This window comes from Homo sapiens, chromosome 8, assembly GCF_000001405.40.
Source record: "Homo sapiens chromosome 8, GRCh38.p14 Primary Assembly".
Taxonomy (NCBI): Eukaryota; Metazoa; Chordata; class Mammalia; order Primates; family Hominidae; genus Homo; species Homo sapiens.
In genome coordinates, this window is record NC_000008.11 from 80,491,575 (window position 1) to 80,506,937 (window position 15,363).

The following is a 15,363-nucleotide window of genomic DNA, read 5'->3' on the forward strand; positions in this document are numbered from 1 at the left end:
CATGCTTTCTGAGTCTGTGTTTTGAGCCTTCTATTTCCGAGGTGTCCCTGTATTTATAAGGATGTGAGGGACAATTAATAGTTTAATTTTGAGTAACAATTGACTACATCGTCAGAGTCAGGTTTAATGATTAGCTCATTCAGTATCTGACCATTTGGCCCAGAAGACTTTAAAATTCCTTAATAACAGTGATTACCAGTTATTCTTGGTTTAGACCACTTTCTACCTAATTGTGAAATTTTCATAGCCTAAATCACACATCCTGTCAACTCTTCCTGGGAGAAACATGCATCCAAATGTATTATTGTTGTAAATTTAGTTAACCTTTACAGAAACTAAGTAATGAATTCAGACCAGTGATCTGATTGAAATTTCCAGTTGGAATATATTGATGTCAGTAGCTGAGCAAACAAAAGAATGTAAGGCAGATCTATCAGCCTAATTTGTTTATGGCAGAAATAAGGGCGGAAGGTTGGTTGGTTGGTTACTTGGTTGGTTTTTAACACTTTAGGAAGAAAGTCTGAAAGACCTTTCACTGAGGAAAAATCGATTAGAGTTGAGCCTGTAGCCCATTAAATTCCGTTGTTTCTTATTTATATATTTTACATTATTTATAATTTATTCTTTGTGTTTTATTCAGTAACAGCTAGTTCATAGCCCTTGTGCTTTTCAAACTTGTTAGCAGTGTCTGACTGTATACCTTATTGTGTACCTAGGATTAGCTTCCTTCTCCATCTTAAATTTAGCTGTATTAGGTTGGCAAAGCACTGGAGATAAAAATCTGTATGTTTTGTTAACATTCATTCTCTCTGCCCTCAAGGAACTTGTAGTTTAGTAAGGAGAGACAGACATGACCGAAAAAAGACACAGATAACATGGTAGCAGTATATAATCAGGGTACATTGAAGAATTTTTTTTTTTTTGAGATGGGGTCTCACTTGTCACCCAGGCTGGAGTGCAGTGGTGTGATCTGGGCTCACTGCAACCTCCGCCTCCTGGGTTCAAGTGATTCTTCTGCCTCAACCTCCTGATTAGCTGGGACTACAGGCACATGCCACCATGCTAGGCTAATTTTTGTATTTCTAGTAGAGACGGGGTTTCAGTATGTTGGCCAGGATAGTCTCTATCTCCTGATCTCGTGATCTGCCCACCTCGGCCTCCGAGAGTGCTGGGATTACAGGCGTGAGTCACGCACCCGGCCTGAAGATTCTTAAGGGAGTGATCAGTTCTACCTGCAAAGGTTGGAAGAAGCTTGTACAACTGATTCTTGAATTTTAATTGCATTTAATTAATAGGTGTTGACCAGGATGGGGAGGGCATTTAGGCAGTGCAATTAGAAACAGCCTAAGGAGGAGCCAGGCGCAGTGAGTGGTTCATGCCTGTAATCCCAGCACTTTGGGAGGCCGAGGTGGGTGGATCACTTGAGGTCAGGACTTCGAGACCAGCCTGGCCAACATGGTGAAACCCCGTCTCTACTGAAAATACAAAAATAAGCCAGGCGTGGTGGCAGGTGCCTGTAATCCCAGCTACTTGGGAGGCTGAGGCAGGAGAATCACTTGAACCTAGCAGGCACCCCACTGCACTCCAACTGGGGCGACAAGCAAGACTGTGCCTCAAAACGCGCGCGCGCGCGCACACACACACACACACACACACACACACACACACACAGCCTGAGGAAAGTGAAGAATGGTATCTTAGAGAAGGGAGAGTTTGGTTGCTGTGCAGGATGAAAAATCAAGTTTGAATAGATAGACTGGAGGTCATGGAGGATCTCTTGTCATGCTGAAAACATTAAATTTTATTGTCTTAACAAATGGGCAACAATAGCAGTTTTAAGCAGGGGAGAATCATTATCAAATGTGTATGTGTTTCAATCTAGAGGCACCTGCGTAGTGTGTATGTGGGTTTAGAGTTTGAGGAGAGAACTGGTTGGCAGGATGTTATAATAACCTGAATAGGCCGGGCGCGGTGGCTCAGGCCTGTAATCCCAGCACTTCGGGAGGCCGAGGGGGATGGATCATCTGAGGTCGGGAGTTCGAGACCAACCTGACCAACATGGAGAAACCCCGTCTCTAATTTAAAAACAAAACAAAAAAAAAAAACCGAGCCGGGCGTGGTGGCGCATGCCTGTAATCCCAGCTACTCGGGAGGCTGAGGCAGGAGAATCGCTTCAACGCAGAAGGCAGAGGTTGTGGTGAGCCGAGATCGCGCCCTTGTGCTTGGACAACAAGAGCGAAACTTCGTCTCAAAAATAAAAAATAAAAAATAACCTGAATAACCATCGTCTGTCTGCTCCCTAACACTCACAGGATTAGAATTTCTGGGGATAGTACTTAAGCTACCAAAGAGGATGCCATCACTCAGAGATATAGAGGTGATCAGAAAACTGCAAAAGAGACCTTCTTGTCTTTTTCTCTACCAACTGTTATGATTTGTCATTGCCACTAGCATGTATTTGGCAAAACTTGCTATGGCCTTGTTTGTCTTCCTTCTATAAAATGAATTTGTTCTAAAATTTGGAAATAGAAATTACTGTTTTTGTTCTTTCAGTATATTCCAGTGGGTTGCTGCAGAGTAATATTTTTATGTTTTCAATGCTTTTAGTTTACACTTAAATGTTTGTGTTGGAAATGTCTTTTCTGCTAATTCAGTTATTGGAAAAGGGCTGTAATTGAGTAGGGTAGTAAATACTAATTGCTTGTTTCTTTAACTGAATAACATTTTCCTATTGTTAACGGATTGACTACAGGTGTGCTGTTTGACTTTCTATTACTTGTAACTGAAGTTAGCCTCTCTTCCTCTACCCCCGCAAAAGTGTAGGAGACTGGGTGATGGTCTTGTATTCTCTACAAGTTGGTGGCGTTGTTTAGGCCCCAAGCTGGAATGCTGATGACCCTATGATTCTCTCCCTCCACCCTTTACATCTGTTTTATCATGCAAGTTCTGATGATTTTTAGACTATTTTTCTAGGCTCTGCTTCACACCTCATTGACACCTATCTTCCCTAATTAAGGTCTTTTTTTTCTGGCATGTATGTTGCCCTATTAACAGTAGCTTTCCAGAGGGTACATGGCTCACACCTGTAAACTTAGCACTCTGGGAGGCCAAAGCAGGAGGATTGCTTGAGCCCAGGAGTTTGAGACAAGCCTGGGCAACACAGGGAGACTCTTATCTCTACAAAAATTTAAAAAAATAAAATAACTGGGCGTGGTGGCACACATCTTATAGTCCCAGCTACTTGGGAGACTGAGACAGGAGGATCCCTTGAACCCAGGAGGTTGAGGGTACAATAAGCCATGATCTAACCACTGCACTCCAGCCTGGGTGACAGAGTGACACTGTCTCAAAAAAAAAAAAAAAAAAAGGAAAAATAGCTTTCCAACTGATCACAGTATCTGCAGTCTTCATTCCCTGATAATAAATCTCCACCTTGCTGCCATAGGCATCTCTCCTCTTTGCTATTTCGATTATATCACTGCTTCTGAAAACTCTGTAAGGTGCCTATAGCAATGGTTCTAATATTTGGGAGGGAGAAGGGGATTCAAATCTCTCTCTCTCTTTTTTTTTTTTTTTAAGGAGATAGGGTTTCTCTATGTTGACTGGGCTGGTCTTGAACTCCTGGCTACCAGCCATCCTGTCGCCTTCCAAAGTGCTGAGATTACATGGCGCTCTTGTCAAAATGGATGGACATTTACCTCTGAAATGTGCCCAAGTGCATATTTGCATTCCGTAGGGCTTTTTAGAAAATCACATTGAAGTTCTTTTACAAATCTTAACTTTTGAGGATGCTATAGACCATCTTATGTTTTTTTAAAATGCTGGGTTTTTGTTTTGTTGTTTTTTTTTTTTTTAAATGCCGTCGCATTTACTTGAAGTGCTCATCCACCCATCCCACTCTTGGATCCTTTAAAGCTCTGCTCAGGTCTTGTTTCTTCGAAAAAGCATCCCCACACTTTAAAAACAAAAAACTGGATTAGATACACATGCTTTCTGCTCTTATAACACCTTAAGAGTCTTACCCACTAACAGTAACTTCAAATTAGCAACTGAATCATTTTGCTTCCTAGTGTAGACCCTGGCCAAAGTAGGTATTCATTTAATGTTTATTAAATAAATATGTAAAGTTAGGACTTTTCAAGCATTTTCCTTTGAGTAAAATATTTACTATTTTGTAGCCTATGTTCTGGAAATATTGAACATCTAGATAATAGGTTATAAGGATTTTAACTAACTGGACACTTACCTATATTTTCTAAATTTTGGAAGACTTGATATTGAGGTCTCATCCAGACTAAAGTTTTACTAAATGGCATCTTTACAAATAAAAAAATTCAAGATTTCATATTTAGCTCTGAATGTCTGTTTCTTTAAAATCTCCTTGTTTAGCCAGTTTAGACTAATGTCTGAGCTAATTGTGTTTTCCTTTTTGGGAGAGAGGTTAGAAAAGGTCACTACATTTGAAAAGACCAGTTGTGGAAATAGTAATTTTTTTTAACTTATCAGTGATATCTGATGTTATCAGTATACTAAAAGTGGACATAGAACGTTAAAGAAGGAACCAAAGAGGCAAAGATACCTGGAGTTATTAGGGACCTATTTTGAGATTTTGTCTCTGGCACTAAGAATTTATTAATTTATTGAGTTTAGCAAATGATATTGGCAGTTTATTTTAGTGCTTTGTGCTTATTTAGCTCTTTAACCCAAATCCTCTAATAATGATCTCCTTAGAGAGTACACATACTCTTGGAAATGATTCATTTTTTTTGAAGGTCATATTTATTTATGTGGTTTCTTTTTTTTTTTTTTTTGAAGGGCATATTTAATAGCTGCTGCAAACATATGGAATAGTGCTTTAATCAGTGGTGAACAAGAAATTGCTGTTGTTGGTTATAAAAACAAGGGACATTAATGTTCTTGTTCTTGTACCATAGTAATGAGAAAAAAAAATAGTGGTTGAATGGTGTTTAATTTGTACAGTTTGTGTCAAAGTAGAATGGGCAGATATTTTGGTGGATAGGCTTTTGTCTTAGTTATAAAAATTAGGACATTTGGTATGATAAAGGCAGAGAATCTTAACAATTGGCACTGGCCCAGAAAATTCAGGGTGCAGTGACCATAGCGTGTTATGACTGCTACAGTAGGCATAGCCACCTCCTGAAGTGTTTTCAACTGCTTGATATACGGACTTTAGGCAGTTCTTGACTTGTACATGCTAATTCACTGCTTCCACAAACAGTTCATAGATATATGCTGCCAGATATTTAGTGTTGAAAACTTTTGCTTCTTCCAAATATTCATACAATATTCATGCTTTTACTATAATATATAGTAGATTGAACACTGAACCAAATGAGCTTGGGTTCAGGTACAGCTTGTGTAACAAAGCTTTTAGTGTTGGGCCTGTATCAAAGCAAGATTCTTCCCCCTTATTTGTAATTTCTATAGAGAGCATAGGCAAATTAATAAAATTTACTCAGTCTCAAAAGGGAAACCAAGTAAACAGAATGATGCTTTTGTGGAAAGTTACACTGTCCAAGTAATTGTTACAGGTGTTTTTAGTATCATTCTTTACATTTTCACACAAGTCCTAAATTGTTCATTCCTCTTTGCTACATGATACGAAATTTCACAACATACTGGTTTTTTTTTTCTTTTAACCAAATATTTGCAGTAATCCAATACAACATACTGGTTTAATACAAGAGCTTAGGTTAAATAAGTCTCATTATTACCTTATTTCCTTTCTCCAGTTCCCCAAAAACAAAAATAAGGGTATTACTCATGAATGGACTTGTTTTGATTCCTCTATCCGTGACTTAACAGTTTTTGCAGAATTGGATCTTTTGGTAGGAGGAGAAAATAGCTAATTTAGAGCATGGAACATTATTATATGGTGGGGGGGGGCATGGGTGGGAGTTTTTTGGTATAAGGGCTTTATGCACTTGGCACAAGAAGGGTATGGGAAGGTTGCCAAGGATCAGTCAAAAATGAGGAAATTTCTCTACTTTGTGTGCTTCATTCTGTAGTGATCATATACTCCAGATTCGTAGAGTTTTTCATACTATTCCATTTTCACAGTGAAACAGTTGAAGTGTGTCCTGGAATCTTTTTTTTTTTTTTTTTTTTTTTGAGACAGGTCTCAGTCTGTTGCCCAGACTGGAGTGCAGTGGCATGATCTTGGCTCACCACAACCTCTGCCTCAGCCTCCCAAGTAGCTGACATTACAGGCGTGCCCCACTACTGCCCAGCTAATGTTTGTATTTTTAGTAGAGACGGGGTTTCACCACATTGGCCAGGCTGGTCTTGAACTCCTGACCTCAAATGATCTACCCACCTCAGCCTTTCAGTGCTGGGATTACAGGCGTGAGCCACCATGCCTGGCCATGTCCTGGAATATTATTTGGGTTCTTTCAGTTGACTTCTCATACCTGGGAGCAGCACTATAATTTTTAGATGGACTGGGTTAGTTTCAGAGAATTGAGATGACAGCGTCTGTGGCCTCCTGTGACATGCACCCAAGTAAAGCTAAAATTTTTATGATTTAGCCATGCACATGATTGCATTAAGTCATGTTTCGTGATTGTTTAGGGATCCACCATTTAGGATATTGTTTGTGAGACTACTTTTGCAGTCTCGTCATCTCTACACCACTAACTCTCTTCTAAGCATGTCAGTACTTTGAGCCTGTTTACACTCTAGTGTTTATTTCTCCATGTTTTTCTCCATGCTCGTAAAATCATAGATCCATACATATGTGTATATATTTTATTATTTTATAGAAATGGTCTATGTTTAACTTAATATTTTGTGCCAAAGAATTGACACTTGAATAAGGTCAGTATTTTCAGTTATCTTTTCTACTAGAAATGGTCTAAGCAATTTTTCTCTTGGGAAAGAGATGATTACTTCATTTGTTTAGCAAAGTGTGGCAGGCACTAATCAAAGTGCTGGAGGGATATTCAGCTCTGCCTTGAGGGAGCTTACCCACCTAGTCACTGTATGAGGAAAGTCATAAAGTTTTAACTAACATTTGTAATACTGACTTATCGTTTAAGGAAAAGGCTCAGGGATAGTGACTTTCCAAGGACACGCAGTTAATGGCTGATACAGACAGCATTCTGAATTCTGGATCATACTTTTATTCTTACGATTATATCACATAATTTTAATTGTGACGCCAAGTAGAACTATAATGAATACCTGTATGATAAGAAGCAAAATTTATAAACATTTAGAATTTTGAATTCAGGAATTTTAATTTACCTTACAGTTTATAGTACTTATGACCCTAAAGAGATAAAGCGTTTTGAAAGTTGATAGGAAATTATATAACTAGATATTCCTATAGTTGAAGCAAATTTTCCCCTTAGGGTCTTACCTTTATCTCTAGTTAGATTTAATTAACTTCATTGACCTAAACTGTTTGATTTTAATGTTTGCCAAGACTTAAAATTTACCTTTTTATTAATGGTAGATAGGGTGATATGCCTAGCATAAAATATAACTTGGATATTTTAAGTTCAATCGGGGGAGACTGTTGCTTTTCTATAGAGATAAAGCAAACATTTAATTCCTATAAGAGAAAGTTTCTTTTCTTAAGAAAATAATTGCTCTTTTTAATTTTAATTTTAAGAAATTCTCAATTCATGTTCTTAGCTTATATTTGAAACATATAACATGATGAATGTTATTTTTAAAATGAAACCCTGCTGATCTTCAGTCAGATGTGTTTGATTTTTTTCTTTTTTAATAATAGCAGTGGGTTGCACCACCACTGTTCACTCCATTTCTTGATTACTCACAAATTAATATATTTGATTATCGCTTTTTAAAAACTTGATAATTGTTTTCCTTGGTTTGGGAGTTTTTAAAAAAGTCAATAAAGTTTAATATTAATGTTTTTTATCCAATTACAGGAGTCAGAAATACCATCAGAGGAGGGGTACTGTGACTTTAATAGTAGGCCAAATGAGAACTCTTATTGCTATCAACTTCTGCGACAACTAAATGAACAGAGAAAGAAAGGTATTCTTTGTGATGTCAGCATTGTGGTAAGCGGAAAAATCTTCAAAGCTCATAAGAACATCCTGGTTGCAGGCAGCCGTTTCTTTAAGACTTTATATTGCTTTTCAAACAAAGAAAGCCCTAACCAAAACAATACTACCCACTTAGATATTGCTGCAGTTCAAGGTTTTTCAGTCATCTTGGACTTCTTGTATTCTGGTAACCTGGTGCTCACAAGCCAAAATGCCATTGAAGTTATGACCGTGGCCAGCTATCTTCAAATGAGTGAAGTTGTTCAAACTTGCCGAAATTTCATTAAAGATGCCTTAAATATAAGCATTAAATCAGAAGCTCCAGAGTCTGTAGTTGTGGACTATAATAATAGAAAACCAGTTAATAGAGATGGTCTGTCTTCATCACGGGATCAAAAAATTGCCAGTTTTTGGGCAACACGGAATCTTACCAATTTGGCAAGTAATGTAAAGATTGAAAATGATGGTTGTAATGTCGACGAGGGCCAAATAGAAAACTACCAAATGAATGACAGTAGTTGGGTCCAGGATGGATCTCCTGAAATGGCTGAAAATGAATCTGAAGGTCAAACAAAAGTGTTTATTTGGAATAATATGGGCTCCCAGGGAATTCAAGAGACTGGCAAAACAAGGAGGAAAAACCAAACTACAAAAAGATTTATTTATAATATTCCACCTAATAATGAAACGAATTTAGAAGATTGCTCAGTAATGCAGCCACCTGTTGCCTATCCAGAAGAAAATACACTACTCATCAAGGAAGAACCAGGTAAATATTATCTATACAAGGATACTTCCTTGTTCATCCTAATTCTAGTTGGATATAATCTTGAAGTATATTTTTAATTGAATTATTTTAGTTATAAAGTAATACTAAAGTTGTTTACAAAAGAAGGGGGAACGTCATTCAAATGCATAACATATTTGGTATATTTTCTTTGTCTTTTTTCAACACATATATATGTGGGTTTATCAAAAGATGTATTAATAGCCAGGTATTGCATATATTGTCAAGGAACGTGGACTCTGCTGCATGTACGGGTCTTTGACTTTCCTCATTTTTAGCCTCTGTGCTCACTATTTTATACCCAGTGTTGGGAAAGATAGAATCTTTAGTTGTAATATATAATCACTGTCGTTTCAGAGACCCCCTTAACCTTTTTTATTTTATTTTTGGCTGTTAAAACATATTTAAGTGTTTCAAAGAATTTTGCCAATTATGAGATTATGGTATTCTAGTTTGTTTAGGGCTACTGTTCTTCTGTTATTTTTTGTTTATTTATTTTTTTGAGTCGGAGTCTCACTCTATAGCCCAGGCTGGAGTCTCACTGCAAACTCCGCCTCCCAGGTTCAAACGATTCTCCTGCCTCAGCCTCCTGAGTAGCTGGGACTGCAGGTGCGTGCCACCACACCCAGCTAATTTTGTATTTTTAGTAGAGATGGGGTTTCACCATGTTGTCCAGGCTGGTATGGAACCCCTGACCTCAGGTGATCTGCTTGCCTCGGCCTCCCAAAGTGCTGGGATTACAGACATGAGCCACCACACCTGGCCTAGAGCAGGTACTGTTCTGTTCTCACCATAGAAGCTATTTTGTTTGTCCACTGTCACCTGATTTTCATTCACCTTTGCATTCATTGCAAAGCCTCTGAGGCCTTTCTCTTCAATATATTTCTCTCCAAAAGTTCCGTAGGAATCTTAGAGAATCACATTTACAGTGGGAATTTTTTTAAAACGAGAAGACCATTGTTAAGTCTTTAGTTTAATCTGGCTGTGCATATCTTTATTTGAAGAAGCTCAGTGGGTTTGAGGTTTCCTATGCATGCCTGAGGCTTGTCCACCACTGTCATACATTATTTAATGCTTGTTTTTTTCACTTCAAAGCACTGTAACTGTTCAGTGTCTGATTTATACGATGGTGGTCATCTGAGGATGGAGTATTTTCTGTTAAAGGAATCACTGTTTTTAGTTGCCAGAGGGCAAAATGCCATAGTAATCCTGTGAAATGTTCCTCTGGCTTTTTAGATTTGGGTTAGCTTTCAGTGATAGGAATTTTGTGTATGTATGTGTGTGTGTGTGTGTGAAATTTTTACTGTGTGAAAAATCAAGTGTGTATATATAACGAATACTATATATCTTTTTCCTTGTACTTTATATCAAGTTTTAACAATAAAATCCCTGAGACAATTTAGTTAAATGAAGTATTAAGGGTAGATAGACTCCTTAGCTAGCACTTTGTTTTGTCTTAATGTAGAAGACCTTGACAGATTTCTCATTAGAGCTACGTTGTCTTTGTGCTGTATGGATTATTTCTGTTTAACAGTATGGTGGGAACCCTGTAGTGTTTTTAAATACACACACTTTTCCTTAAAGGAATAAATAACATCTTTTGGGTGTAGCGGTTGTTTGATGGTAACTAGTCAGCAGTAACCTCATTTAAAAAATTAATGCCACATATAATTGGAGTGATTTAAAGAAAAGCATTAATAATGAACCACAATGCATACTTTCAAAGATGACATTACTAGCAATTTTTATCAAGTATCTCCTAGCCATGGTTGTGTTAATGGACTAGTTCTATTATAAATTAATTGGTGGTCTAATATGCTTTATCTCTTACATCTGTTTTGTTTGTTTGTTTTTAAACGGAGTCTCACTCTGTTGCCCAGGCTGGAGTGCAGTGGCACAGTCTTGGTTCACTGCAACCACTGCCTCCTGGGTTCAAGCGATTCTCCTACCTCAGCCTCCCAAGTAGCTGGGATTACAGGCACATGCCACCACACCTGGCTAATTTTTTTATTATTACTAGAGACGGGGGTCTCACCATGTTGGCCAAGCTGGTCTCGAACTCGTGACCTCAAGTCCACCCACCTTGGCCTCCCAACATGTTGGGATTACATGGGTGAGCCACCGTGCCCAGCCGTCTCTTAAAAAGGATTATTTTCATTTCATTGATACCAGTTTGGTATCCGAACCTTGCTTAACTCACAAATTTGGTTCTATCCATGCCACCAGTGTTATTTGGTGGAAAAAATAAATGGGTCTCAAAAGAGCATTATGGTTAGGGTATATAATATGATATAGAACCAAGGACTGGTAAATTTTTACTGTAAAGGGCTAAAACAGTAAAAAAAAAAAAGACTTTCACCTTTGTTGGTCATAAAAGTCAGCTCATCAACTCTGCCACTTGTGACATGAAAGCAGTCATTTGTACTATGTAAACAAATGAAGGTAGGTGTGTTCCAGTAAAACTTGCCAACCCTTCGTATATAGCAGTGGTTCTTAATCATGGGTATGCACGTTGGTATCACTTGGGAGCATTACATGCCGTAAAGGGTCTCTCTTCTGTGGATTCCAATTTAATTGGTATGGAATGTGGTTTGGATGTGGAATTTTTTTTAAAGTTCTACAGGTAATTTTATGAGTTAAGGCTGAGATCAGCAAATATTACTATATTGGAAAGAGCCTAAATTGAGTCAAACATAATGAATTTAAAATTTAAAAATAAGCTGTGCCACCTACCCCCTGTAGTCCATGATCAAATTAAGCTCTTGTCCTCAGTTTCCTCATTAAAATATTGTGTTGATTTTATAGAATTATTATGAAAATGAAGTGACAAATATGAAATAACTCTTGGTCATGGCAATCCTCCTTAAACTTGGAAAAGACTATTGAGGTTATTCATATCAGTTTTCCGGTGCTGTGTACTTTCTACCAAATGCCAGATAGATGGTCTTAGCCTCAGCTTGATTTTTTGACTGCTTGTAAAGACTTCCCTAAGCAGCTTCCAGTGTAGGATGACTGATTATTAGGTAGTCATTTTAAATGTAGCCAAAATTTGCTTCTCTATAACTTCCTAATTCTGTCGTTGGGAATAGTGTAATTTATTATTTATTTATTTATTTATTTATTTATGTTTTTTGAGAGACAGAGTCTCCCTGTGTCACCAAGGCTGGAGTGCAGTTGCATGATTTTGGCTCACTGAAACCTCCGCCTCCCAGATTCAAGCGTTCTCCTGCCTCAGCTTCCCAGGTAGCTGGGACTACTGGCGTGCACCACTGCACCCAGCTAATTTTTGTATTTTGTATTTTTAGTAGAGGGTTTCACTATATGTTGGCCAGGCTGGTCTCAAAAACTCCTGACCACAAGTGATCTGCCCACTTTGGCCTCCCAAAGTGCTGGGAATACAGGCGTGAGCCACTGCGCTCTGCCTGGAATAGTATAATTTAAACCTAACCTAATTCCTCTAATCTACCTGATAACCCTTCAAATGTTAGACGTTTAAAGAGTCCTGTTTTTGTAGGCTATGTGCTCTTCTGCCCATCTTGTGATGAATACACACAATTTACTCTTTCCAGGCAAGTTCTGACCAATATAGAACATAGCCTGTGTTTACCAACGTTAAGGCCTTCCCAAGGTCATTCAGCTAGTAAGAGTAGAAAGAGGCAGGTTGCATATTTAGGACTATGCTGCATGAAAACCTTGAAATTAACTACTAAAGTAGTAGATTCCTATCTTTTTTAAAAAATTAGTTCCTTTTAACTTTAAAATATTTTTATGATCCCCTTCATCATTAGTTATGCTTTAATTTCCATTTATTGAGAAAACAGTTGTCCATGAAATAAATGCTTTTAAATAAATTTGAAGTTCTATAGCAAACATCTGAAAAGTCTTAGTGAATTGTTCAATCTGCAAACAATGCTTGGCATGTTTGGATTTGGCGGGGGTCTCTTCTAGTTACTGTGTCTTCCCTCAGGTCTTCAGCACAGAGTTTGTAAGATACAGTTCTAATAACGCTGTCTTGTATAATGTTGAAGCTTTTGTTTGGGTGCCTTTTAAAGATTGAGATAAGAAGGTGTACCCATAGCTGCAGGGTTTTTATTCAGATGGTATTTTTTTATCTTGAAATTAACATATTTGTTGTTTGACTCACTACAGAGTCATATTTGTTGTTTGACTTCACTTCAGATCATTTCTTTTACACAAGAATACTTTGAAGGTAGAACTCAGAAAAGTTAGAAATTTCTGTCCTAAGAGAATATGCACATACTGGGATTATGGAATAATTAAAACTGTCAGCAAAAACTAAAATCTGGGTAATCAAATAAGGGTAAAAATGATGTCGTGAGTGAATTGCTCTGATAATGTAAAAATTTCAAAATCCTTGTCTTGCTGATTTGCAACCAGGAAACATTAAATTTTAGCCAAATAAAGTAGATAACCTGAGATTAGAAATTGAATTACAGAAGTACAGATAACTAGTGCCTAAATTTGTTTTACAACGTGTATTCACACATGTTGTGTCCCGTTTAACTAGAACAAGTCAGGTGTTAATCTGATTTTTTAAAATCACTTTATTTTGCGGGCTCATGGAACATGGTTTTCTGAGCCTAGATTTTTAAATTTATACCTGTCATACTAGCAACTTCTACCTATTATAAATAATTTTACTCTGTATGTACGTTGCATGCATACATACCTTATTTTGAAATGACAAAAGAAACAAATTAGCAAAATAAAGTAAAATTGGCAAAGAAGTTAAGAGTGCTCATCATGGATATAAATGTGGTTGCCCTAATTAAGCTTTTAATTGGCTCTAAGATACAAAACAGCCTTACTCAAAAGAGAAAAACATACCAGTTCTACCAGGATGACAAACTTCCTGGTACTGACTTCTGAAAGGAATTTCTCCAGTGGGATTTTTTTATGTAGTTGACACCAAGTAATATAATGGACAGTTTCCTTAGATGTTTTCTAGTAAATGCAGCAGTCGATTATTATATTTTTAATCTTTGCCACAAGCTGATGTAGTTCTATGTAAATGATTTTTTTTCCTTATGCCATACGAATACTCAAATGTAAGGTAATTTTAGTTGATTAAAAGATAAAGTTTAGAATTCTTTTAAATAACCTGGAAGTTTCTTTCACCTAGACTTATGATGGAAAAATAGTTTTGCAGCATTTTTAGGTTTGCGTTAATCCTTACAAGTAGAGTTGAAATCAGGTTTAAGCTTTGCACTTATTTGTGTAATTGCTTTTTTGGTAAAAAAGCATACAATTTGGTACTTTGAAAACTATTTTGAGAAAAGAATATCCAAACTAGATAGATATAAGAAATCGTAATAAGGCATATATTTGAGGCAGAGTCTTGCTCTGTCACCCAGGCGGAGTGCAGTGTCATGATCATGGCTTACAGAAACCTCAACCTCCTGGGCTCATGTGATTCTCCCGCCTCACTCTCCCGCAATCAGCCACACAGAGTACTTGGAACTACAGGTGGGCGTGCACCACTATGCCTGGCTAATTTTTTTTTTTTTTTTTTTTTTTTAAGTAAAGGTGAAGTCTCGCTTTGTTGCCAAGGAGACTGGTCTCAGGCTCAAGGGATCCTCCAGCCTCACTTCCCAAAGTGCTGGGATTACAGCCTTGAGCCACTGTGTCCAGTCTAAAATATGTTTCAAAACCATGGGACATGGCTTTGGTGAAGGAGACTTGGGCTTTAGATTCAGTTTTGCCACAATGCTAGCCTTGAGTGTATCCCAGACAGCCTCCCTAATGGGAAAGAAGTAAAATTTCTACCTTAAAATTCTGAAATCTTAATAGTTCTGAGGACCCAAAGCTTTTTCTTAATCATTTTGGCAACAAATCAGCTATTTATATTTTTTTACTTCCTTAAATGTGAATATTCATGGGTTTTTTTTCTTTTTTTCTTTTTTCTTTTTTTGAGATAGAGTTTCACTCTTGTTGCCCAGGCTGGAGTGCAGTGGCGTGATCTTGGCTCACTGCAACCTCACCTCCAGGGCTCAAGCAATTCTCCTGCCTCAGCCTCCCGAGTAGCTGGGATTACAGGCATGTGCCACCATGTCTGGCCAATTTTGTATTTTTAGTAGAGACGAGACGGGTTTTTTTCATGTTGGTGAGGCTGGTCTTGAACTCCTGACCTCAGGTGATCCACCCCCCCCCCAACCCCCGCCTCAGCCTCCCAAAGCGCTGGGATTGCAGGCGTGAGCCAGCACGCCCTGCAAATATTCATGTTTTATTGTATAAATATTAGTGTTTTGTATAAATATTCATGTTTTCATTATAGGGTGCTACTCCAGACCCCACATGGGGTGTTACAGTCATAGCTATAAAATCTGAAAAATTCTGCATTCTAAATCTTACCCCAAGGGTCTCACGTAACAGATTTATGGATCTGAATTAGTTTTTATTCTCTTAGGAGATTCCGAGTGTTTTGCTAAACCTCTTAGGCATCCTATGGAGTATGCTATGAAGGATGAGATGCAAGTCAGAATTTAATTTCATTTTTCATTAGCAACTTGGGGGGGT

General features: G+C 37.7%; 1 protein-coding gene across 3 annotated transcripts in view, besides 1 other annotated feature; it reads left to right on the forward strand.

Moving 5' to 3' along the window:
* The window catches only part of ZBTB10 (zinc finger and BTB domain containing 10), a 40,673-nt gene that overhangs the window by 5,982 nt on the left and 19,328 nt on the right, over positions 1-15,363 (forward strand). For all 3 annotated transcript variants that reach the window (NM_001277145.2, NM_001105539.3, NM_023929.5), the window contains exon 2: positions 7,920-8,808. In NM_001277145.2, the coding sequence (NP_001264074.1) occupies positions 7,920-8,808 (889 nt within the window). The remainder of the gene's footprint in view (positions 1-7,919; positions 8,809-15,363) is intronic.
* Positions 11,643-12,143: an enhancer, noted in NCBI's record as "H3K4me1 hESC enhancer chr8:81415452-81415952 (GRCh37/hg19 assembly coordinates)". NCBI's record gives its function as "activates a minimal SCP1, AML or CMV promoter by ChIP-STARR-seq in primed H9 embryonic stem cells {active_cell/tissue: H9 hESC(primed)}" and the evidence as "EXISTENCE:reporter gene assay evidence [ECO:0000049][PMID:30033119]".